The sequence below is a fragment of the Homo sapiens genome, chromosome 1 (genome assembly GCF_000001405.40).
Source record: "Homo sapiens chromosome 1, GRCh38.p14 Primary Assembly".
Taxonomy (NCBI): Eukaryota; Metazoa; Chordata; class Mammalia; order Primates; family Hominidae; genus Homo; species Homo sapiens.
In genome coordinates, this window is record NC_000001.11 from 94,959,640 (window position 1) to 94,985,855 (window position 26,216).

The window sequence follows — 26,216 nt, forward strand, 5'->3', positions numbered from 1 at the left end:
TTTATTCACAAATATCAGTTGAGCATCTACTATATAGTGCTATATAGCATTACATCAAGAATTGTAAAGAACTCGAAAAAGCACAAGTTGTGCTCTCATACATCTCAATAAACTCAAGATATAATATCCACGTACACTAACTTTGTGTGTGTGAGAGTGTGATGCTTAAAGGATAATGCTATTCTGCTTTTATTTATTTTTTTAATTTTTTGAGTCACTGTGTTGCCCAAGTTGGAGTGCAGTGGTGCAGTCACCACTCACTGCAGCCTGGACCTCCTGGGCTAGGTGATCCTCCTGCTTCTGCCTCCTGAGTAGCTGGGACCACAGGCACACACCACCACATCCAGCTAATTTTTTAAATTATTTGTATCCATGGTGTCTCTCTATGTTGTTCAGGCTGGTCTCAAACTCCTGGGCTCAAGCAATCCTCCCACCTCAGTGCTGGGATTACAGGTGTGAGCCACTGCACCTGCCCAAGTCCAGGAGGAACTTTAACCCTCTGTGTTCCTCTTGGACTTTCCTTGTCTAGGATATCTGAACACTGTCTATGGCCGGTAGAATGGGCTGGTTTTATAGATCCTCTACCTTGAAGGCCAATCTGCCTCTCTGATCTCTTTTTAAAAATCCCTTTTTCCTCTGAATTGTAATGGAATTACATAATCACTACTGAGGGGATCTGGGACAGGGACAAGAGGGGATAGGGAGATCTTCTCATTTGTGGGGGAGAGTGGGAGTGTCCGGCAGCCCAGGGGCCTGTGGGTCTGGTCTACTTCCTGAGAGTCCCTCCCTGATTCTAGAAGGAGGACAGGGCAGACATGGCATGAGGAGGAAGCCTGTTGACTTGTTGACTTGCAAAGAATCTTAGCAAGGTGCCAGAGTGAATGCACCCGGACACGGGGAAGCCCACCATGTGGACATAGCTTGGTTGCTGCATGTGTAACTAGAAAAAATACAGTTGTCTGTTGCCGGCTTCCTGCTTCTCCCTTTTTTCCCCATCACTTGTTCTTGAAGCTAGTGGGAGTTGGATTCTTCCTGTTTGACCGTGTTGGAGTGATATCCTAGCCTTCAGCTCTGTGGCCTGCAAGCCCCTCAGGCCTCTCTCATACCTTAAAGAGGAGAGATGGGGTCAGGAAGAGACTTCCTACTCTCACTATATAGTGCAGCTCTTGATTTATTTATCACATTGAAATGTTTGTTTGTTTGTTTGTTTATTTATTTCAGACAGAGTCTCACTCTGTCACCCAGGCTGAAGTGCAGTGGCGCCGTCTTGGCTCACTGCAACCTCCGCCTCCCGGGCTCAAGCAATTCTCCTGCCTCAGCCTCCAGAGTAACTGGGATCACAGGCCTGTGCCACCACGCCTGGCTAATTTTTCTTTTTTTTTTTTTTTTTTTTTTTTTTTTTTTTTTTTTTAGGGGAGACAGGATTTCACCATCTTGGCCATATGGTCTCAAACTCCTGGGCTCAAGCCATCTGCCTTCCTTGGCTTCACAAAGTGCTGGTTCACAGGAGTGAGCCACCACGCCTGGCCTGGATTGAAAACTTTAGACTGAGGTTTAGGTACTTTTGTTGGGTTCAACCTTCAGTAATTCCTCTAGGCTAGGGTTCAATCCCAGTAACCAAGCTCACCAGTCCTTGCTCCCAAATATAACTGCTACTTTTCTCTTTTTTTTTTCAAGCTGAACCTCAAAAAGTTAGCCTGGCGAGGGGAGGATGATGAGATTTCCCCTGTTGTCACATAAACAAGGAAGTAAAGGGGGCCCCTTGTGCTCTCAGAACTCCAAGCATGAAACGATGTGAGTCTAAGCATTTAAATCACTTATCTGGGATGAAGCATAAAAAGCTTGATTTTTTTTTTTTTAAACCAATTAGGTTTTAGCCTCCATGATACATTTTGGGGCCTGTGGTTATCACTGCAATTACACTTCAATTCATGCATTGGATACTTTGAAAAGGTTTAATAAACAATAAGAATATCAGCTGCCATTTATATTTATGCTTCTAGCACTGTCCCAGGGGCTTTAATATGGTACCTATAACCCTTCCAATTATTCTCATTTTAGAGTAGAGATAACTAAGACACAGGGAGGTGAAAAAAATAAGCAAACAAAAAAACCTGCCCAAGGACACACGACAGGTCAGAGGTTAAAAAAAAAAAATTAGCTGGGCGTGGTGGCGCACGCCTGTGATCTCAGCTACTCTAGAGGCTAAGGCAGGGTTCACACTCCCGGCTCTTGGTTTACCGAAGTTCTCATTTATTCCACTATCTCATAAGAAAAATGAAGCAAATCAAGTCACACTTTAAATCGACTGAGGAGATTTTGCTGTAGAAAGGAATCTGGTAAATCCCTTCATCAAGTAAATAATCCTTTGTGTGTAAATCTGGACTTATATAAAGTATATGTTTTTTGGCATGGTTAAGGTGAGCTACCATGTTCCTTTCCGGAAAGTAAAGATGATTTAAGGAATATGAAGGAGGCCTTTGTTCATTCCTTTGATGGATATTTATTCAGTGCTCCTCTGTGGGAATGCTAAGATGAGAAAAGCAGACGGTCCCTGTCTTCAGGGAGCATATCATTTTTCACTACCCCTTGTTATTGGGTTGCTAAAAAAGAGAATGTCTATTTTATTTGTGGAAGTAAGTCAGTAGTTTAAAAAACTTTTATTTTCTTTTCTGCTTATCGCAGTAATACATCTCATTAAAAAGTGTAAAAAAACCAAACATTATAAGAATGTATAATACAAAAAGTTAGTTTTCAGTATTGCCAGCCCCAAAGAAACAACCACGGTTATAGATGAAAATTTTAACCCTTAAAACTCTTTCTCCAGAGGAGAAACAGAGAATACCATCTAGTAATTTCCCTATCCTGGCTCCTGCAGTACCTTCAGGACTTGGAGATTTTTTTTTTTTTTTTTTTTTTTTTTTTTTACTGGGCGGCTCCTGACCTTGGGGAAAACAGAAACACAGCTGAAAGTAAATATGGAACAAAACTCTGGCCATGGGGCCTGAGAAAGGCTTTTTTCCACTGCCTTTTAAATGTATTTTCATGAAAAGACACCAAAGACATTTAAAGTTAGGATTGTTCTAGAAAATCCAGGATAGATAGCCACCAGATGTCTATGGGGAATCAGGGCACACCACAGTAAACACTCAATAGATATTTGCTGGAGGGAGGAATGAAGACTGTACTTATATTTAGAAAATTAAAACAACCCTGAAGTACATGCTGGATTTTACAGGTTTTCGATTTATCTCCTCCTCTTTTTTTTTTTTTTTCCCCATGCAGAGCAAAGGGAAAAACAGCTAAGTGTTTCCTGGCTGAATTTTATTTTGCTTTCAGTTTCTGCCATTTCAGTTCCTGTTATCGTGCTTTGAGGTGCACTGAACTGCAGCAAACCCAGGGGATCCAAGGCTACGTTGAAAAGCCTTTGACCACAGTGCAGGGAGCAGAAGACATTAATGACGTGATGTCGACACAGCCCGCACTCAGGATCCTCCAGGAAAAGAACACAGAGATAACCCCGGATCGATGGTACTTTTTGAAAATGCTTTATTGCAAAAGAGTGGCTAGGGTTTTACAAGGGCTATGAAGAAACATATTAAGGTTAATAAAGCTTTTTATTGAGTGTTTACTGAGTGTTACTATGTGCTTTACATCTATTAACTCATTTCATCTTCAAAACAACCCTATAAAGATGTTACAACTATAATCCTAACCTTACAAATGAAACAACTGAGGCACAGTGAAGTGCAGTGGCCTGCCCAGGTAAAAAGCAAGACAGAATTTGAACCCAGGCAGCCTGACCCCAGGGTCCAGGTATTAAACCATTCTGCTATAGTGCCTCTAAGATAACAGAGAAACTTGATGAATTACTGGGTTACTGAATTTTAGTTTACATAGGTTGTTTTTTTCCCCTTAAGAGTAGAACAAAACATACCTGAAGTATGGAAAATAACATTTATTTTATTTTATTTATTTATTTGAGATGGAGTCTTGCTCTGTCACCAGGCTGGAGTGCAATGGTGCGATCTAGGCTCACTGAAACCTCCGCCTCCCAGGTTCAAGCAATTCTCCTGCCTCAGCCTCCCGAGTAGCTGTGATTACCGGCATGCGCCACCACGCCCAGCTAATTTTTGTATTTTTAGTAAAGACAGGGTTTCACCATGTTGGCCAAGCTGGTCTCGAACTCCTGACCTCAGGTGATCCACCTGCCTCGGCCTCCCAAAGTGCTGGGATTACAGGCGTGAGCCACTGCGCCCAGCCAAAAATAACATTTAGAAAAGTTTTTAGCCTTGGAGCCCTGGAGGCAGAGGCCGCAGTGAGCGGTGATTACGCCTAGGCACTCCAGCCTAGGTGACAGAGCAAGACTCTGTCTCATAACAAATGACTTCCGATGGGACAGCCCAATGGGAGCTATAGAAAACCAATGGGAAGTAAAATTGGATGACTTATGCCCTTGACTGCAGGAATGCAATCACCGTGGGTAATGGGAGGATAAATACGAGAATGGAGGCAGGGATTTAAGCCCTGCCATCCATGTTTACTAGCTGCAATTAACCCTGGGAGTTTCTTAGCCTCCAGAGTGGGCTTCCCTCTGAGTTGTGGGTTGGCCCCAAAGATGCCAAAATTTATTCCAGTTATAAGTTATATTTTAACCAAATTTCTGGTCTCCATTTTTCCTTGGAGAATCACACAAGAAAGGAAATAAGACTGAGTTTCCCCAAAAATAAAATTATGTCATTTTTCTTTTCTTTTGAATTCCATTGATAAGCTAAGTGTAGAAAATAGTCCACTGCTAGTGTCAAACTTGTAGATGAGAAGCACAGCACATCAAACAAAAACCTCAAGGTGTAAGAGTCTTTTTTTTTTTAATCAAAATTATGCAAATAACACATGAGGCTGGACGTGGTGGCTAACGCCTGTAATCCCAGCACTTTGGGAGGCTGAGGCCGGGCAGATCATGAGGTCGGGAGTTTGAGACCAGCCTGACCAACATGGTGAAACCCAGTCTCTACTAAAAATACAAAAATTAGCCAGGCGTGGTGGTGCACACCTGTAATCTCAACTACTTGAGAGGCTGAGGCAGGAGAATCACTTGAACCCAGGAGGTGGAGGTTGCAGTGAGCTGAGACCGTGCCATTGCACTCCAGCCTGGGCAACAGAGGGAGACTCCGTCTCAAAGAAAAAAGAAAAAAGAAAAAAATAACAGATAATAACCTGATCAGGGAGAAAATTCAAATGTATAGAAACCCATGTTCAAAAAAGTTAGAGTTCTTCATTTCCTTAATTTTATCTCCTCCACGGGGTAAGTATAAATTTAAGTGAAGAAAATGATTTTAATAAAGTCAATTTAAAAAATTAGCTTCTGCTCTGAAAACCAGAATGACAAAATTTAGCCTTAGTTTGTGTTCTTGTTGTCATTTATTCATTGATAGGCGGTATCTCTTTAGCTCTCATGGTAGTCAAGCTGTTATCTGAGTTTCAGGTACTATAAATGTGCTTTAATTGTGTAGTTTTTTTTTTTTGTTTTTTTTTTTTTTAGAGACAGGGTCTCATTCTATTGCCCAGGCTGGAGTGCAGTGGCATGATCATAGCTCACTGCAGCCTTGAACTCCTGGGCTCAGGCTATCTTCCTTCCTCAGGTTCCAGGGTAGCTGAAACTACAGGTGCACACCACCACTCCTGGCTATTTTTTAAAATTTTTTGTAGAGATAGGGTCTCACTATGTCGTCCAGGGTGGTTTTGAATTCCTGGCCTCAAGTGATCCTCGCACTTCAGCCTCTCAAAGTGCTGGGATTTCAGATGCTACCATGCTCGGCCTGTGTATTCTTTAATAGATCTGCATGATAATTCAAAAGTCAATTGTTCTCTCTTTAGTGCTTTGGGTAAAATGCAGTGGAGTGGAAAGTCGGCCTAGGAGCTAGAATGCCTTAGTTTTAGTTAGGGCTTTTGTGACCAGCCACCTGTGTCTTGGAGTATCTTTGGTCCTGTGTCCTCACCTGCTAAAAATATAAGTGAGGTGTCCAGTTATAGACCTTCTATCTCTAAATTCTGTGTTTTCACATCCGAGGTTTTTTTTTTTTTGTTGTTGTTGTTGTTGTTTTGAGATGGCCTGGCCTGTTGCCCAGGCTGGAGTGCAGTGGCATGATCTCGTCTCACTGCAACCTCCACCTCCTGGGTTCAAGCGATTCTCCTGCCTCAGCCTCCTGAGTAGCTGGGATCACAGGCACACACCACCACACCCGGCTAATTTTTGTATTTTTAGTAGAGATGGGGTTCTACCGTGTTGGCTAGGCTGGTTTCGAACTCCTGGCCTCAGGTGATCTGCCCCCCTCGGCTTCCCAAAGTGCTGGGATTACAGGTGTGAGCCACCGCACCTGGCCTCACATCTGAGTTAGTAACTTCTGTTGGTGGTACTCAAAGAAGAAGAAAAATATCTAATTTATTTTTCTTTTGCTGACTGCAAGCAGAATTAGCTTATTTGTGCTTTGGCAAACTACTACTCCTATGGTTCTGTCTTTTGTTTCAACCCCATAATGGCTATTTTGTATCTCAAACTTATATTCACATGATTACATCTGATTTATTTTGCATGTCAGTCTAACCACTAAGCATATGTCATCACGTTACTTAATTTATAACAGAACATAAATTTGCTGTGTTGGCTCCTTTAGTTAAAATAGAATCTAGTAATTTACAGTCACCCACAAAGTAATTCACAGTGAAGAATACTAAATAACAATTAACAATGGCCAAGAGGCTCAGGAGAGAAAAAAATTCAAGGCAGATTTCTGTTAAAAAAAAAAAAAACCATTTTCTTAAAAAAAAAATCTACTATCTTGTTTTCTATCTTTTTTTCTGGCATTCCGCTGTCCACAGAGACAGGTTTTTGTTTTTTGTTTTGTTTTTTTATTTTTGAGACGGAGTCTCGCTCTGTCACCCAGGCTGGAGTGCAGTGGAGTGATCTCAGCTCACTGCAACCTCTGCCTCCCGGGTTCAAGCTATTCTCCTGCCTCAGCCTCCTGAGTAGCTGGGACTACAAGTGCGTGCCACCACACTCCGCTAATTTTTTTTTTTTTTTGTATTTTTAGTAGAGACGGGGTTTCACTGTGTTAGCCAGGATGGTCTCAGTTTCCTGACCTTGTGATCTGCCTGCCTCGGCCTCCCAAAGTGCTGGGATTACAGGCATGAGCCACCGCACCCGGCCACCAGAGACAGTTTTATACTCTTCATTTTTGGAAGAGCCCCTCTCTAAAAAGCCTCAGAATCTTTTAGTATCTTTCTGCAGGGGGAGAGGGGAAGGTATACAGAGAATCTAATGAAATCTATAGCTGTCTTCCAGAAAATACATAGATACACGTAAATCCCCAAAGTCATAGCCATTTCCATGGACTCCAGTTTAAGAATCCCTGGCTTAGAAGTTGGGGAAAACAAGATCCAAAAATGTTGGACATATGATTACTGACTATATTATACAGCAAACAATGGTATAAGCCAGAGCCTTAGTATTCCAAAATATTTAATATATAATTTGGATAGGGAGTAAATTAACTCCTATTTACAATCCAGTAAATTTATGAAAAATATCATGTTAACAGGTTTGGTTAAACAAATCTGGGTTTGAGACCACTGTGCCGCTCTCCAGAACAGTAGCAGAAAAATGTAAGGAAATCCTTCCATTGTTACTGACTCGTTTCCTTTTCAGAACTGGAATATACCTTTTAACATGCATTGCCTTATACTTAAATCTATACATTCAGCATTCTTATATAAGTCACGACTCTTTCTTTCTTTCTTTGTTTGCAATAGAAAAGTCCCTAAGAAAACAAGGATTCATGTGGTAGCCCTTGGATACTTTAATTATGTGACTAGACAATAGAGGGAACAACAAATTCATAAAAACCGTGACATTCTAAATCACAATTGTCAAGATTGATACCAAGTTAGAGCCTCCACAAAAATCACTGATGCTTCTAAGAATTCAATGACTTCTGTTGCTCAAATCAGATCACTCTAGCCAACGTTGATATGAAGAATGTATGGGCAGCTCCCCAAAGACCTGTTGCCACTTACTCCAGTGTTTTTAGGACAGAAACAGAAAACTTTTCCTGGTGGTTTATAAATCCTTCTAGGAGTTCTCACTGGTTTACGGACAAAGGCAGTCTTTTAAGAAAACTTTGTTTAAAAAAAATTATAACTGACAGGAGGCTGTAGTAACAATTTGAAACATGAAATACATACATGAAATACATAAAAAGAAAACTAAAGCAAAAGAAAGGAGACTCCTATTAGGAGTCTGGAGTGGCTTTATTAAGCCCATGACTTTAAAGCATGTTGAGAGGCAGACAAGTGACTTCTCTAAGCATAATGAATGGAGTTTTTCCATTAAAGAAAGGCTGTACTATTACTCTACATGTCCAGCAAAAACTAGTTTCATTTCAGAATTAATTTTTTCAATAGTAGAAATTACATTTTTTCTACTTTCCTCTTGGCTCTTTCCTTATTCCTTTCTTGGGTCTTACGCTACGTGTTTCACCAAATGGCCAGCTCCTGTTTACTCTGCTTGCTCTGATGAAAAGATCATTTGCTGCCATGCGAGTGGGAATCTCCCAGCTTTACCATTTTGTCTGCTGGGCCTCTCTCCTGTTCCTGCCACCATTACTGGGGTTGACACTAAGAAACGCTCACAGGAAACTGGTGCCAGTGGTGGCGTGGGGATGAGAAGGAAGCCAAACAAGAACTGCAGGGAACTAGAAGGCCTACACTGGGGGCGATCTTCAGAAGGCTTCTGCTGAGTAGTGAAGGTCGGGTCTTCTGCATTACAGGGTGCCAACCATTGGGCAAGTGTATGCTTCTTCACATTATCTTTTGGTTCATGTATCCATGTCCTCAACTAAATTGAAAGTTCTTTGATGGCAGAGACCAGGTGGTAGATGGTTGCATCTATTCATTTGGCTTCTCCCACACACTTTCCTATTCTTCTCTTTTGGGTTCTTTGGGTAATTTCTCCCCTACCCCATATGGCATTGATGGGGCTATCAATCACAGTCCCAGACCTCCCTGGTCATAATGATTGGTCCATGGGGACTTGGGCAGAGCTAATCAAAGGCTTCCCTGCTATTGATAAATGAGTATCGAGAGAGGCATTCATTCTCTGTTCTTTGGGGTTGCTGAGTTGGGAGATGTGAACCTGAGGCTTTTGGTGATTGTTTTGCTTGCCAACTAGAGAATGCCTGCATACAGAATGAAGACAGGAAGAGAAGAGCAGGGCCAGGAAAAAAGAGGAGGCCAAAATAGGGCCCTGACAGTTATTATTTGAGCTCTTGAATCTATCAGGCTTTGAAATTGGGTTGAGACCTAGACTTTGTTTATCTGAATCAAAATTATTTTTTAATTTAAGTTGGGTTTCTATTATCTCAACCTTAAAAATTTTAAGTTAATTTCTTTTTTCTTTTCTTTCCTTTTTTGGGACAGAACCTCACTCTGTCACCCAAGCTGGAGTGCAGTGGTGCAATCATAGCTCACTGTAACCTCGACCTCCTGGGCTAAAGGGATGCTCCTGCCTCAGCCTGCCCTGTGTAGGTGGGACTATAGGCGCATCCCACTACACTCAGCTAATTTTTAAAAATTTTCTTGTAGAGATGGGGTCTTGCTATGTTGCCCAGGCTGGTCTTGAACTCCTGGCCTCAAGTGATCCTCTGCCTCCGACTCCCAAAGTGCTGAGATTACAGGCGTGAGCCACGGTCCCCGGCCACAGATAATTTCTTAAGGTTCATAATGAATCAACAGCATTGTTATAGTGCCAAGTGCACCATAGATGTTGGTTGGTGGAAACATGATTTGTTCAAAAACTGATTCCAATTGTACTTCAGCAGAGGGCAAAAATCTTCAGAAGATATGGCAAAAATGGTACAGGAAAATCTATTCTAATGCTTTGTTAATATTCCCAGCCCAGAGATACGACACTTTTGGGTAAGGGCCGACAGGAGGGACGGGGCGGTGCAGTGAGCACAGGGGCTAAAAAGCACAGCATCCAAAGTCAGGCAGGACTAGGTCTCAATGTTGGATCTGCCACCTGGCAGCTGTTTGACTTGAGGCAAGTCACAGAGCATCTCTAAATGTCAGTTTTATAGAGAAAAGGGAAATAGTACCTATAGTTTACTGGATTGTGAGGATTAAATGTAAGGCAATTAATACAATGCTAAGAGGCACTGTGAGTATCCAATAAATGCTTATTATAATGATTATCAGTGTCTTGGAAGGAGACATTGCTATGAATTAAACTTTATAAAATCATACAATTATTTTTAAAAATAGAGCTGAGAGGCCCTTTGAGAGCAAAAAAGTACTCATCTCTCTCTATATAACACTAAAAAAAATTTATTAGTAATTTAAATCCCCTGCATTTCCCCCACAGCCTGCCTTTGGCTGCATGCAAATTTAAGACATGAGACAAAGTTCGATTCCTCTATATAAGAAAGGGATGGATTGTAAAGTCCATTGATTGTTGTATCTGCCAGCACCAAGAATATTCCTGGGAAATGGTAGATACATTAAAAATATTTGGTTTTTTAAAATTAATTTTTTATCTTTTTAGATTAAAAAATTTTTTTTTTTAGAGATAGGGTCTTGCTGTGTTGCCCAGGCTGGTCTCAAACTTCTGGATTCAAGTGATCCTCCAGCCTTGGCCTCCCAAAGTGTTGAGATTACAGGTATGAGCTACCACTGCCATGCCCCGGCCAAAAATATTTGTTGAATGAAGCCAGGTGCAGTGGCTTCATTCAACAAATATTTGAATATATATATATATATATATTCAATATATATCTCTCATATATTAAATATGTTAATATAATATTCAAATATATATATATCTAAATATACAAATATTTTTGACAGGGTTTCCTGTCACCCAGGCTAGATAACAAATATATATATATGTGTATATATATGTGTGTGTATATATATATACACATATACACACACACGTTAACATATATATATATACATATGTACATATATATTTGTTGAATGAAAATAGACTTGGAATAGGGAGAAATCTTGAGTGTGACTGGAGAAAGGAAAGGGAAAAAAATACCTTTGTAAAGGGGAAAGGAAGAGAGAAAGAGAATTTGGGCAGCTGGTAGAGGAAAAGGGTATTTGCGGGGGTAAAGTATTTCAAGAAATCTTTAAGGATGTTTTGCTGGTGATATATGATACAACCCAACCTCCCCCACACCCTCCGAATCTTCAGTAAAAACCAACACTGTTATTCAAAGCCTTTGGAATCATACTTAGGGGATTTTAGCATGTGACAATGCAGGCAACTGACCTCCAGGGCAGACATGGGGCCCAGGAAGCCTGATTACATCTGTATTGTATCCAGAGGAACAAACAGGGCCCAGAAAGGTTGCCACTAAAAGTATGGCAAAAACCACAATTACTTTTGCACCAACCTAATACTAACTACTCTCTAGGGCTGCTGTGAGGATTTAGTGAATTAATACATGTAAAAGACTCAGCATTGTGCACTCACTACTATTATTACTGTTAACTTTAGATACTTGCGGTTAGTATCCAAAACATATCAAAAAGTGACTACTTGGTTTTAAGTACATCAAATTATGCCTTCTAAAAAATATTGTAATATTTTAACAGTTTTTTCCATAAATTTGCTTTTTCAAATTACCTATAATGTGATGGGTGTTTCCTTATGAATAGTAATTGAAAATATGTTTGGCTAGATTTTATTTCTATGTCTCAGGATGTCCTTGGAGGGAAGGCAGGGGTCTTAACATATCAAAAGTAATTTCCTGGCTTTAGAGTTTAAAGGAAATAAACAAAGACCTACTTATTTGATTGGCCAAATGCTCGCTCGACAGGGTTAAAATCTAATTAAAGTATCTTTTAGATGTTCCGTGGTTGGACTAGCAGCTGTAGGTCAGAAGTTCAGAACAAAAAGTGAAATCCTAGGATTAACTGTCATACTCTTGTATCAAATATTTTTCTGTTGATTCAACTTCCCATGGTAATTTTTTCTGGATGAGGCTTTGCCACCACTTGTGTCTGCCACCTTCTGAGTTGGCACCGATAATGTAGTACGGAGTAGAAAAGCAACTTATCTGATGGAAGAGCTTTTCAGGACTGTCTCTGTGTCTCATGAGAGACACGGGTACCTGCAGATTCTGTGGATTTTGTTGTGTGGAGCATGAAAGGGAAGAGTCATGGAATCACAAGAATGACAGGCTAAGCCCTGGCTCTGCCACTAGCCAGCTGTGCAACCCTAAGCAGATACTCAAGCTTTCTCAGTTTTATTTTCTCCAGAAAAGGTGGTAATGATAATACTTAACTCATTAGGTCCACCCCTAACATTTCCAGGACCCCTGGCAAGAGTGTACACAAAAACCTCTGCCACAGCCCCCCTCCCTTCTCTTTCCATCTGGCTCCATCCTGCCCTCCACACCTCAGCTTGCAGGTCCTAACTCCTGCCACACCATTCCCCACTGAAAACCACCCATGCCATCTCTCAGCCCAGGGGCACAGTTCACTTGCATTCCATGGGGCAAGGGGCCCAGGCAAATCCTAGAAGCAGGCTCGGGCCACTGAGGCAGGGAATTTTGGGGCCTGGGCAGCCAGAGTTTGGTCTAGAAAAGTGTGGCCCTTCCAACCCCATAGGGAGGAAAGTGGCAAATATGTGTCTTTAAAGTGTGGGCCTCAGTTGCTTGGGTCTGAGAATTAAATGAGTCAGTGCACACACAGCACTTCTGACATCGAGCGGGGAGTGTGCCCTTGGAGAAAGGGATCCTTCAATAGGAGTCAGTGCCCTTAAGTCTCCTGTAAAGGTCTTGTCAAATTGATGTTGGAACACCTCAAATATTTACCAAACAATGAGGAGCACAGTCCTTAGGTGGATAAAGATTATGGTGACATTTCAAACTCGATAACAGTGTATTGAAAGGCCCAACATAGACTATTTCAAGTCAGAGAAACCTCTTCAGGTTCAGATTTGCAGACTGATCCTTTTCTCTTCTTTTGTTTGAGATGGAGTCTCAAAATATTTGATACTCTGTCGCCAGTCTGGAGTGCAGTGGCACAATCTCGGCTCACTTCAACCTCTGCCTCCCAGGTTCAAGCGATTCTCCTGTCTCAGCCTCCCGAGTAGCTCAGACTACAGGCGCGTGCCACCACACCCATCTAATTTTTGTATTTTTAGTAGAGACGGGGTTTCACCTTGTTGGCCAGGATGGTCTTGATCTCTTGACCTCGTGATCCACCCACCTCGGCCTCCCAAAGTGCTGGGATTACAGGCATGAGCCACCGTGCCCGGCCCACTTTTTTTTTTTTCATGAGTTAAGCATGAAATAAAAGTAATTTTTAAGTGTCCTTTCTTGTTCTCATTTAAAAACCTAGTTTGTTTCATTTATCTATAATCAATACATTCTTTGGCTTTTTAGCATCTGAAAATTTCTTACATGATATATATTTCTAGAGCTTTTAATTATGGAAATGCTGAAACGTATATGAAATAGAGGGAATATAATGGGCTTATTTGTGAATCTCCATGTACCCACTGCCCAGTTAGCTTCCACACGCATGGCTAATCCTGTTTTATCTATAAACTCTCCTTCCTGCCCCACTCTGGCAATGGATTTTCAATCAAATCTCAGGCCTCTTATCATTTCATCCACAAATACTTTGTTTTTTATAAGATTTTGATGAAAACATTTTAAGCTTTTTCCATCTGGCTGCTTTAGACTCCGCTTGTTCAACTGGGCTGTCAATGGACCAAACCACGAGTCTTTTTAGATGCCTTGCATGGTTTTAGGTCCAGATAATTCAGGGCAAATCGGTTTGAAAATTGAACCTCTTTTAATTTGTCTGCCAGACTGGAACTGAATAAGGGAACATTTTGGATACTTTTTATTCCTTGCTGAATTTCTGCCAACTCTGTATATGGTATTTCCATAAAAGTCTTGTTTTTCTCCCTTTTCTTTGAAGAATGAAACTTCTTTTCCCTTTTTCTGAGAGGCGGGAAGAGACTGTCCCCAGAGTCCATTCCTCCTGCGGCTGCTTGGCTTTCCTTGGGCTGTATTCCCTTCCTACTCTGAGTGTGTACGTTCTGGGGGTTGGCAGTCCAGTGGGGACCCAGACATGGGGATGGTGGGCCTTCTTGATGTCATACAAAGATTACTGCACTTCAGTCACTGGAGCTCAACTGAAAACTTAAAAAAGTTCTCTTGGGCTGGGTGCGGTGGCTCACGCCTGTCATCCCAGCACTTTGGGAGGCCGAGGTGGGTGGATCATGAAGTCAGGAGTTCGAGACCAGCGTGGCCAAGATGGTGAAATCCCGTCTCTACTAAAAATACAAAAATTAGCCGGGCGCAGTGGCGGGTACCTGTAATCCCAGCTACTCAGGAGGCTGAGGCAGGAGATTCACTTGAACCCAGGAGGAGGAAGAGGTTGCAGTGAGCTGAGATCGTGCCACTGCACTCCGGCCTGGGTGACAGAGCAAGACTCCATCTCAAAAAAAAAAAAAAAAAAAGTTCTCTTTACAGTCATTGAATTTTAAATCATTATCCTAAAAAGATTGAGAGAGGAAAAAAATGATTTCAAATTGGACAGAATTTTTTTTTTTACATCTCCTTGCCAGAAACATTGTTCTCATTTTCAGTTGAATGGCTTGGGTATTAATTAAAGCTTCATGCTCAGCCACTATCTCCTTTTCTACATTCTTGCTGCTAATCGTCATATATGTAACACATGACTTCTGTTTAAATGCTCAAGTTTATTAGAGTGGAAAAAAATCTCAGTTATACAGGAAAGGAAAAGAGATTAGGAATCAAGTCCAACCATGTGCTTATTCATCTGCATATGGTTAAAGATTTAAAAGAATCCATTGGTTTCTTTTTCACTGCTGCATGCAGGCCAAGGAGAAAGGAGGAAAAAAAATCATTTTCCTATCCATGGTGTAGAAATACATCTTCTGCCTTTTGCCTGGCAGGCAAAAAATTTCTTCCTCTTTTAATATTAAGCGAAAGTACCCAAGCTTTGGAGAAACTGTCTCCTTCTGAAAGGTTATTTTTCTAATTACCTATTGCTTTGTGACAAATTATTCCAAAACTTCGTGGTGGAAAACTACTACCATTTAATCATGCCTATGAACTCTGTGGATCAGCAAATCACAGGGCACAGAAGGGAGAGCTTTTCTCTCTTCCAAGGTGTCTGAGCCTCAGCTGGGAAGACCAGAAAGCCTGGAGTGACTCAAATGGCAGGGCTGGAATAATCTGGAGACTTCTCCTCTTGCATGTCTAGTGCCTCCAGTGAGATGACTCAAAGTCTATACTAAGATGTGACTGTCAATTGGAATGTCTACAGATACCATAAAATTCACCCAGTATACAATTCAGTGGCTTTTAGTATATTCACAGAGATGTACAACCATCACCACTGTCGAATTCCAGAACATTTTCATCACCTCCAAAAGAAGCCTCATACCCATTAGGAGTTGCCCTCCATTTCCCCTTCTCACTGCCCCTGGAAACCACTAAGCTACTTTCTGTCTATGGACTTGCCTACTCTGGACATTTCATATGAATAGAATCATGCATTTGTTGTCTTTTGTGGCTGGCTTCTGTAACTTAGCCTACTGTTTACAAGGTTCATCCACACTGTAGCATGTATTAGTACTTCATTCCTTTGTGTGATCGAGTAATATTCCACTATATGGATATACCACATTTTGTTTATCTGTTCATTAGTAGAGCATTTGGGTTGTTTCTACTTTCGGGTTATTATGAATAACGCTGCTGCGAACATATAAGTTTTTGTGTAAATACATGTTTTTAATTCTCCAGGGTATACACCTATGGGTAGAATTTCTGGGTCATATGATAACCCTATGTTTGATTTTTGTGAAACTGCTGAACTGTTTTCCACAGCTGCTGCACCATTCTACATTCCTACCAGCAATGTAGGAGGGCTCCAATTTCTCCAAATCCTTGGCAGCATGTATTTTCTGGGTTTTCTTGGACTATAGCCACCCTAGGGGGTTGCTGCCCTTAGTTTAAAAAGAGCCTCCTGGCCGGGCGCAGTGGCTCACGCCTGTAATCCCAGCACTTTGGGAGGCCGAGGCGGGCAGATCACGAGGTGAGGAGATGGAGACCATCCTGGCTAACACAGTGAAACCCTGTCTCTACTAAAAATACAAAAAAAACAAACAAAAAAAAAATTAGCCGGGCGTGGTGACAGGCGCCTGTAATCCCAGCTACTCGGGAGGCTGAGGCAGGACAATGGCGTGAACCCAGGAGGCGGAGCTTGCAGTGAGCCGAGATCGCGCCACTGCACTTCAGCCTGGGCAACAGAGCGAGACTCTGTCTCAAAAAAAAAAAAAAAAAAAAAAAAGAAAGAAGAGCCTCCTTAACACACCAGGGGAGCTACCACTGATGGAGACAAATGTGACTGAGGGCTTGAGGGCTTACTATTTAGCAGGCTCTGTGCTAAACACTGTACATACATCATCTGAATGTTTAGTGCTCCCTACAACTCTAACGCAGGTACATTATGCTTATTTTACAGAAAGGTCAAGTAACTTGCCAGAAAAGGGATAGAGTTTGGGAGATGTGGATTTCCCATATTAAAAAAAAATTAGAGAACTTGGATACTAAGGTAGGAGTTTGGTGGCCCAAGTGAAAGGTTATTATTATTATTTTTTCAAAACAAAACAAAAAACATCTAGCTGATTGTGGTTGGCAGAAGTCTCAGATGGCCCCCAGAACGGGCATGGTGGCTGACGCCTGTAATTCCAGCACTTTGGGAAGCCGAGGTGGGCGGATCACTTGAGCCCAGGAGTTCGAGACCAGCCCGGCCAACATGGTGAAACCCCATCTCTGCTAAAAATACAAAAGTTAGCCGGGCTGGTGGTGCACTCCTGAAATCCCAGCTAGTCAGGCGGCTGAGGCACGAGAATCGCTTGAACCAGGGAGGTAGAGGTTGCAGTGAGTTGAGATTGCACCACAGCACTCCAGCCTGGGTGACAGAGTGAGACTCCGTCTTAAAGAAAAAAAAAAAAGATGTCCCCTAATATTCCACCCCCTGATTTACATGCCCTGGATAATCTACTATCCGTTAGTATGGGTGGGATCTGTGAATATCATGACATGTCATTCCTCTGATTATGTTACATTAACATGGCAAAAGGGACGTAATTATGATCCTAATCAGTTGACCTTGAATTAATCAAAAGGGAGATTACACTGACTCAGTCATGTGAGTCCTTAAAAGATAGGAAGCAGGCCACCACAAATCCTACAACTGCAAGGAACTGAATTCTGCCAACAACCATCTGAAGGTATCTGAAAAGGATTCAGAGTTGCAGATCAGAACTCAGCCTTGGCCATCATCTTGATTTCAGCCTTTTGAGATCTTGAGCAGAAAACCTTCTTTGCCTGGATTTCTAACCTACAGAGATAATGTATTGTTTTAAGCCAATATATGTGTGGCAATTTTTTACACAGCGATAAAACTAATACACAGATCACTGACTGACTAAAGAGGAGATAGGCCGGGCGCAGTGCCGCATGCCTGTGATTCCAGCACTTTGGAAGGCCAAGATAGGAGGATTCCTTGAGACCAGGAGTTTGAGACCAGTCTGGACAACATAGTGAAACCCTGCCTCTTATTTTAAAAAAAGAAGAGATGAATTCGCTGATGTGACATTATGTAAAGCAGCAGTTCTTAAAATGTGGTCCAAGGTCCTGGGGAGTCTTCAAGACGTTTTTAGGGGTTTATGAGGTCAAAACTATTTTCATAGTAATATTAAGATGTTATTTGCCTTTTCCTTGTCATTCTTATGATGGTATAGTTTTCCAGATGCTACAAGATGTGTGATGATATTGTTCTGACAGCCAGTGGAATATGTCCTTTTATATTCTTGCGTTTAAAATTTTTGTCTAGTTTCTACAATGGTAAATATTGACAAATATAGCTCACACAAACAAAAGCTCATTGGGATATATTTTTTTTTTTTCTGAGGCAGGGTCTCACTCTGTCACCCAGGCTGGAGTGCAGTGCCATGATCTCGGCTCACTGCAACCTCCACCTCCCAGGCTCAAGTGATCCTACCACCTCAGCCTCCCAAGTAGCTGGAACTATAGGTGTGCATCACCATGCCTGGCTAATTTTTGTATTTTTTTTGTAGAGATGGGGTTTTACTGTGTTGCCCAGGCTGATCTCAAACTCCTGGGCTCAGGTGATCCATCCACCTCGGCCTCCCAAAGTGCTGGGATTACAAGTGTGAAACACTGTGCCCAGCCAGTTTTCAATAATTTTTTAGTATAATGAGGTCCTGAGATCAAAACGTTTGTGAAGCACTGGTCTAGATAAAATATAACTGAAGTGAGCCTAGACAAGTCTGAAGCTATAATTTTTTTCTTTTTTTTTTTTTGAGGTGGAGTCTCGCTCTGTCCCCCAGGCTGGAGTGCAGTGGTGCCATCTCAGTTCACTGCAACCTCCACCTCCCTGGTTCAAGCAATTATTTGCCTCAGCCTCCCAAGTAGCTGGAATTACAGGCGCCCGCCACCACGCCGGCAAATTTTTTGTATTTTTAGTAGAGATGGGGTTTCACCATCTTGGCCAGGCTGGTCTTGAACTCCTGACCTTGTGATACACCCACCTTGGCCTCCCAAAGTGCTGGGATTACAGGCGTGAGCCACCATGCCTGGCCAAATAATTTATGTATTTAATTAGTGCCTATGTTTTGTACAGAGCTGTGGTGTAAATACTATCAAAAGTGGAACAAGGATACAAAACTAGAATGAGGTACAGTCCCTGAAGACAAACATAAATAATCAGCAATAGCATTCATTATTCCTTCCACAGGTGTTTCTAAGAACAAGGACTGCAATTCGATGGTATATAACTCAGCACTAACCTTTGGTATGGGTGGCTATGTCACAGAGTTATTTAGAGAATTTGCTCAAGCTAAATGAAGACAAAGACTTTGTGGGTGGGGCAAAATCTAAGTTGGGAGTGAAGTAGAAGGAGGACAAATATTTAAGGCATTATCCTTTGGAACTCAGGTAAAATACCACTTTCTTAGAAAGGCCTTTCCTGATTTCCCTATCTAGAACACCAACTACCTTCTACTCCGTCATAGTACCCTGTTACCCCATTTATTTCCTTTTGAGGACATTTTTTCTTTTTTCTTTAAAAAAAAAAAAAAACACCTAACGTAGCTATTAAGGTAAGCCTGGCTGGAGCTAGAATGCCTTGGTTCAAATCTGAGCTTTGTCACTTTCTAGTTCTATAATCTTTAATAAATTACTTAACCTCTCTGTGGTGTAAATATTATAAAAAGTGGAACAAGGGCCGGACGTGTGGCTTACACCTGTAATTCCAGCACTTTGGGAGGCCAAGATGGGTGGATCACCTGAGGTTGGGAGTTCAAGATCAGCCTGGCCAACATGGTAAAACCCTGTCTCTACTAAAAATACAAAAATTAGCCAGGTGTGGTGGTGCATGCCTGTAATCCCAGCTACTCGGGAGGCTGAGGCACAAGAATCGCTTGAAGCCAGGAGGCAGAGGTTACAGTGAGCCAGTAAGGTGAGATTGCACCACTGCACTCCAGCCTGGGCGATGGAGCGAGACTGTCTCGAAAAAAAAAAAAAAAAAAAAAAAAGAAAGAAAAAAGTGAAACAAGTATACAGAACTAGCATGAGGGGAAGTCTCTGAAGACAAACATAAGTAATTAACAAAATCATTCATTTGTTCCTTCCACAGGTGTTTCCTCAGTTCCTCAATAAAACTTGCTCATCAAGCAAGAAATTTTTGTTGAAGAGCTGGCTTAGGTTGTAACTATGGGACTGAAAAGGAAAGGGTAGATATGAACTAAGTCAAAGGCAGAATCAATAGGTGATGACAAAGGAGAGGAACAGTAAAAGTAATTTCAAGGAGAGAAGAGGAAGACGAGAAAATTCTGGGGATAATGAAACAAAAAAGGCAACCAATTATAATTGGGTAAAGAAAGAGTGAAAAAGCAAAAATGATCCCAAAGTTTGTTGCTTGAGGGACATGATAGAAGCTAGTGGGCTAGCATTAGTTAACTACTCCAGTGCGAAAAGGAGGAGCTATGTCAAATTCATGTTTAAAATGAGTGGGCAGCAGGAACACAGTTGTAGATGATTTGTTTTTAGAGTGCTAGAGGGATGGGCCCTAACAAAAGAATGTTGAAGGCGGACAAGATTTGGGTGTCTGCTCATTGTGCGCCAGGGCTGAAGTCATGGGAAGAAACCCCGTGAGGCTCAAACGCTGACCTGTAGGGAGAAGGACAATTTTCTTTAACACTTACAATGATGTTCTTATTGTTGGTAAAAGGTGCTTAATACATTGCTATCAAATGCCTTTTGGGGGATGGGGCTTTTCAGAAAAAAAAAAAAGCACTCATTCAACCCAAGGAACTGTATAGTAAAGGGGTACGTTTCTCAATTTTAACTTACCATGTATCTTTGAAAGGTAGAATGATGTGTTCCAAGTTGCTTTTATAAGGGGAAGCTTGGGTCATCTCCTTCCTAGCAAGGACATCTTGCTATTCAACTCACAATTGTCACCACTCCTCTTGTTGACACGGTTTCATAGCACTCTTCGTTCCAGGCTAAAGTTTCCTGTCATGATTTTTGGGCATCCTTTTTGAAACAGTTAGACATTCTGACCTGGCAAGCTACTGAGACCTTTTAGGATAGCTGGACTGTAGATAGAAATCTTCCAGGGAAGTAGGTGTGGGCAGGATGTGTGGTTTCCCTGCCTCTCATTTGAAGACTGATTCAATTAATTTTTTCATGAACAGTCTCCTACAGTAAAAGTTGCATTCAGAGTGTTCTAAGAGAAACTGGAAGGGACAAGCTAGCTACTCATCTTCTTCAGTTTGAGTTGGGACTGGCGCACTATCTTTCTGAATGTCACAGAAATGCACAGCAGGGAAATTGTGCCACCAGCCCCCTCTGCTAATGGGACCTTGAGGACTCAAATTAGCCATAACAGTAACACACAGCAGAGCATGCACTTGTTTACCAGAGTAATCTGAATGATCAGGAAGATGCAATAACACATGTCTCAGCCTGGCTCTGAATGAGTACACAGCAGCCTGAACCTATGAAAGATATAACATTTCTAAACTTTTGGTGATATAACACATACACATTCTTTCTCTGACATTCCAGGCTAACCACTGTCTTAAGTTAAGGCTCTGCAAAACATCTGGGACATATGTTTCTGGAAAAAATTATAGCATCTTTTCTACAATTCTCTCTGGTCTGATCTTTGTTAAGCTCTGACCTGACAGAAGCCTCTGCAGCAGGATTACCTGTGGGGGCCCAGGGAAGCTGCCCCACAGCACAGAGAGGCATTCACTAAACGCAGTTCACTTTCCCTTACCATTCATTTACCTAGTGCCACTCAGGGAACAAAGTACAGAGCAGAGAAAGCCTTAAACAGCAATAAAATGCAGATGCTGTTGTCCCTGAAAAAATCACTTTCTTTCTAGAACAGTCAAGGCTTATTTCACCTCAGCCCCTGGTTGTATGATACTAATACGCTCTGATACTCCAGGGAAGCAACCAGTGACTGAGATTTGAGGATTAAAATCAAAGCACAATGAACTATCATTTGGCTGCCCCAGGCCCACTAAATCCAGACAGCAAAGTGTTCTCACCATTCTGAGACACCTTCGGCTACACATTTCTCCAGCCAAAAACCTAGGAAGATGTCCGGCTGACAGATGCGCCTGTTACATGATTCAGAGAAGACAGTTTTTTTGTTTTTTTTGCTTTTTTTTTTTAAAAAAAAAAAAAAGAAAAAAGGCTGGATCAGCCTCAGGATTTTAATCTTACATGATCGTGGATAATCATGTCTCTTTTCACAAAAATTCAATCACTTCACTAATCACTATTTATTAGATTTATATCATACTTATAAAGCAAAAGATTTAAGAGGAAAAAACCTATATATACTACAGGAGAGAATCTTCTCTTTTCTGTTTTTTATTTTGTTTTGTTTTTTTTTTTTTTGGCTGCTTTGTTAAAGAAGCAGAGGTTAGAGGGAAGGAAATGGAATTCCTGTTTTTGAGGAGCTCCTGGGCCAGGCACTGCACTAACTATTGTACTTCTATTCCAGTAGACATGGCACCACTAGAAACACAGTCTCAAGCAGGACCAGCGAAAGAATTCAGAGGGTCTAAAATATAAGTTCATTGTTTAAAAAAATATTCAGAAGTTCAAGAGAGTCACAGCAGAACATTAAACCAAGTGGAGGCCCTCTTCAGTGCAGAACTCTGTGTGACTGCACAGGCCACACACCCGTGAAACTGGCCCCACTAAGAAGTCAGGTTTACCTGAACTTGAATTCTGGCTTTGCTACTTACTACTCATGTGATCTTGGACAAGTCATCTGTAAAATGGGAATAATAACAGTCCCTACATCATTGAGTTTTGTTTTTTTTTTTTTTTTTTGAGACGAAGTTTCACTCTTGTCACCCAGGCTGGATGGAGTGCAATGGTGCAATCTCGGCTCACTGCAGCCTCTGCCTCCCGGGTTCAAGCGATTCTCCTGCCTCAGCCTCCCGAGTAGCTGGGATTACAGGCATGTGCCACCACGCCTGACTAATTTTTGTATTTTTAGTAGAGACAAGGTTTCACCATGTTGGTCAGGCTGGTGTCAAACTCCTGACCTCCAGTGATCCACCCGCCTTAGCCTCCCAAGGTGCTGGGATTACAGGTGTGAGCCGTCATGCCGGCCTAAACAAGAGATTTTAAAAGATACTCTGTATTAAGGCCAACTACTCAAAAAGCAAGACTGAAGTACAAAAAATGATACTGGTTTATGCTCAAGGTTCTGGAGGCTTGTGGAGTGCAAATTGTCATGAAGCCAATTTAATATAACTGCTTCCTTTATGCTGAAAGGATTCACTGGGGACATCACTGTTTCCATACAGGAAATAAAGCCTTTTGTATCTGAACCAAAACTCAGAAATACTTTTTTTCTCTCTTCTTTTACAATGCAGAATACTTTACAAAAAAAAAAAAAAAAAAAAAAAGCTGTAGGACAGGAAATATTACTAATCATACAAACTCTATATTTAGTTCTGTAAAAAAAATACTACTAAAACAGCCAGAAGAAAATTTGCAGGTAGTAATACATATTTTTATCTAGAAAAGAAATTTGGTTTACAGAGGCATAAACATTTAGTAGTTACGTTTATCAATGTTTGTTTCATAAGAGAAGCCTCAGTTTCTTCACTGAGTCATCTGTACATTTTTTATTCCTTACCATCAATAATTCTCAGGACTGTCAGACGCCTTTACAAGAAACATGTAGGGTTTTTTTCCCCCCAATTTGAGTACATACTACTGTTAACTGCAAAATTCTAAAGAAGTCAGTTGCCATTTGTCAAACAATTCGCCCAAGGTACACCGATTTGGGATACTTTTCTTTCAGAGCCGGCCACTGAACAATGAAGTAATCTGAGAGATGAAACAGAATCTTTCCGGACATGGATAACGTTTCTACACGGCAGATGCTTTCAACGTAGACAATGATCACTTTCTTTATTCCTAGTATCCCAAGGAGAAGGGCAGATACACAGATAGGAACACATGTTCCTGGTCCGTTACACAACACCTGAAAGAAAAAGTTGAAGGTCAAATGAAAATACAGAATAATAATCTAAGGGAGGCATTTTGCATTAAGAACAGCCTGATTTCAGAGGGGATCTGCTTATGATTCTAATAAGTCCTTCTCTGTCAAGAACCAGGATGCAGCAAACAGCGCATGTTTAAGCCCATGCACTTTGGAGCCAGGCAGAGCTGTGTTGTCTTGGCTCTCTTGCTTACCAACTGTGTGACTCAGGGCAAATCACTTAACTTCTAACTTCTAGCACAGTTCCTGGTGCTCAGTCAGCACTCATCGGACAGGCATGTGTTGCTCTTCTCTGACTGCTCTGTGGACCTTGAATGTCACATAAAAATACAGAAAACAAAATCAACTGAGATTCACTGTTTTCTTTAATGTACCAACTTATTCTTGATTTGGGAGAAAATATCTTTAATTGACTATGAAGATTTTTTTTTTTTTGAGATGGAGTCTCGCTCTGTTGTCCAGGCTGGAGTGCAGTGGCGTGATCTCGGCTCACTGCAACCTCTGCCTCCCGGGTTCAAGCGATTCTCCTGCCTCAGCCTCCTGAGTAGCTGGGACTACAGGCGCCCGCCACCACACCCGGCTAATTTTTTTTTGTATTTTTAGTAGAGATGGGGTTTCACCATGTTAGCCAGGATGGTCTCGATCTCCTGACCTCATGATCTGCCCACTTCAGCCTCCCAAAGTGCTGGGATTACAGGCATGAGCCACCGAGCCCAGCTGAATTTTTATAAGCCATTGAAGAAAATAAGAGAAAACCTGTTTCAGAGAATTGTTGGTAAGATATTACTGTTTTCAGAGGAAAAAGCATTTTACACAACATCTTAATTATATGCTCATGTTGACTGAATTAGTAAAATCTAATAAAGCACTTTATTCCACAAACCATAAAACAAGAGGTTTGTGATTGTCTACACATATCTATTGGGCATGCTCTATGTCACATGATCTTACCAGCCTAAGGTCCACAAAACTTAGCACCAGAGAATCTTAGAGTTGGAAAGGTTCCCATATATACTGTCTATATTGTTTATACCACCCCAGCATTTCAAGGACTCTCCCCGACAGAAAGAGAGCCATCTTGCCTCCATGTGAACATGGTCAGGGCTGTAGGGTTTGAAAAAGGTCACCTGGTCTAGGCTCCACCAGGAGGTGTGACCACCTGAAACACCATTCACAGAGCTTTGGGAAAAGAGTCTGTTTTAGATGAGACCAATCTTCCTTATGTCTTCCTCAAAGCTCTCTACCTACCATCTACAAATCCCCTTTCTGTCTTTTATGGAGAATTTGTCTTCAGACTTTCCCTTGAATTACCAGCTACTAAGCTGCTGTCCAGACTGGTCTTTAATCTCCATTAAGTTGCCCCTATAACCCTTCTTCATAGTCCCCCAAGGCAGTGTAATAGAAAATGGAACTGAGAGTCAGGGGAACAAGGTTAAACAAACTGCAAACCAGCTCTGTGATTCTGGGCAACAGCATAAAGAACAATCACCACCTCGGCCCTCACCACTGCTATTTATTCACAACGCACTATGGCCAAGTACTGCACTAAACATTTTACGTGTATTACATTTTAATTAATCGTCACAGCAATCATAATTTGAGACAAGTTCTCTTTTTTTTCTTTTTTTTGTTTTTAATAACTCTGTATCATTCCAATTTTAGTATATGTGCTGCCAAAGTGAGCACAAGCAAGTTGTATCATCCCTTTTTGCAGAGGAGAAAAGGCAGGCACACAGAAGTTGGGCAAGTTGCTTGATCACATGTTTAGGAGGTGAAGGAGTTACGTTGCTTCAGGTCACTTTTTTTTTATTTCTAGCAGTTACCTTACTAGAAAATGGGTAGGCTGGACTAAATGTCTTTCAGGGTTCTATAACTCTACAATTTTCCTCTTTGTCTTAAACCTAAATTACAAACTTGCTCTGAATCTTTTCAATGTTTAGAATTCCAAAAATCCAATTATTGCCAGGCACTACTAATATTTTGGACTGGATATTTTAGTTATGGGGGCCTGTCTTGTGCATCTTACTTAGCGTGCTTCGCAGCATCCCTGGCCTCTACCCACAAGATTCCAGTAATCAAGACAACCAAGAATGACTCCAATCACTGCCAAATGTCTCCAGTTGACAACCACTCTATTAATGCACTCCCTAATCCTTGGATTATTTGTGTTCTTTTCTTAGTCTTTGTTTCAATAATACAGAACAAAATAAAAACTACAGCTAAAAAATAATGCAAGGATTGCTGGATCTTGAATGTCACAGAAAGAATTTCACATTTGTTCCTCTTTAAAAAAATGCACAAATCCATGTGTTCATTTCAACATCTAGTCAACTCTCTATACACAAACTATGTATACACAGCTAGAGATGTCTGTATATGGGAAGGGAAATGACTGGCATTGCTGGGAGATGCATTAACAACCTGCCACAGGTCAGAAGTAGAGACTGTTAAGATAAAAGTGTAAATTAAAGGTATTTTGTTTATCTCTCTTGCATCCGTATATTTGGAAGCACCTTACTACAAAAGTCCCT

General features: G+C 41.3%; 1 protein-coding gene and 1 long non-coding RNA gene across 7 annotated transcripts in view; one reads left to right on the forward strand and one right to left on the reverse strand.

Annotated features, from left to right (window-relative positions):
* Positions 1-3,631, forward strand: part of CNN3-DT (CNN3 divergent transcript) — a 36,911-nt gene extending 33,280 nt beyond the window's left edge. For 2 of the 3 annotated variants that reach the window (NR_168376.1, NR_033998.1), the window contains exons 3-4: positions 1,678-1,794; positions 3,286-3,631. This is a non-coding gene — a long non-coding RNA (CNN3 divergent transcript). The remainder of the gene's footprint in view (positions 1-1,677; positions 1,795-3,285) is intronic. The other variant, NR_168377.1, reaches the window with a different exon arrangement.
* ALG14 (ALG14 UDP-N-acetylglucosaminyltransferase subunit) overlaps positions 14,766-26,216 on the reverse strand; it is a 98,547-nt gene continuing 87,096 nt past the window's right edge. For 3 of the 4 annotated variants that reach the window (NR_131032.2, NM_144988.4, NM_001305242.2), the window contains one exon: positions 14,766-23,667. Coding sequence is in view for 2 of the 4 variants with exons in the window: in NM_144988.4 (NP_659425.1) it covers positions 23,437-23,667 (231 nt within the window). In the remaining 2 variants the exon portion in view is untranslated. Of the gene's footprint in view, positions 23,668-23,904; positions 23,995-26,216 lie in introns of those variants that run through there. The other variant, XR_001737025.2, reaches the window with a different exon arrangement.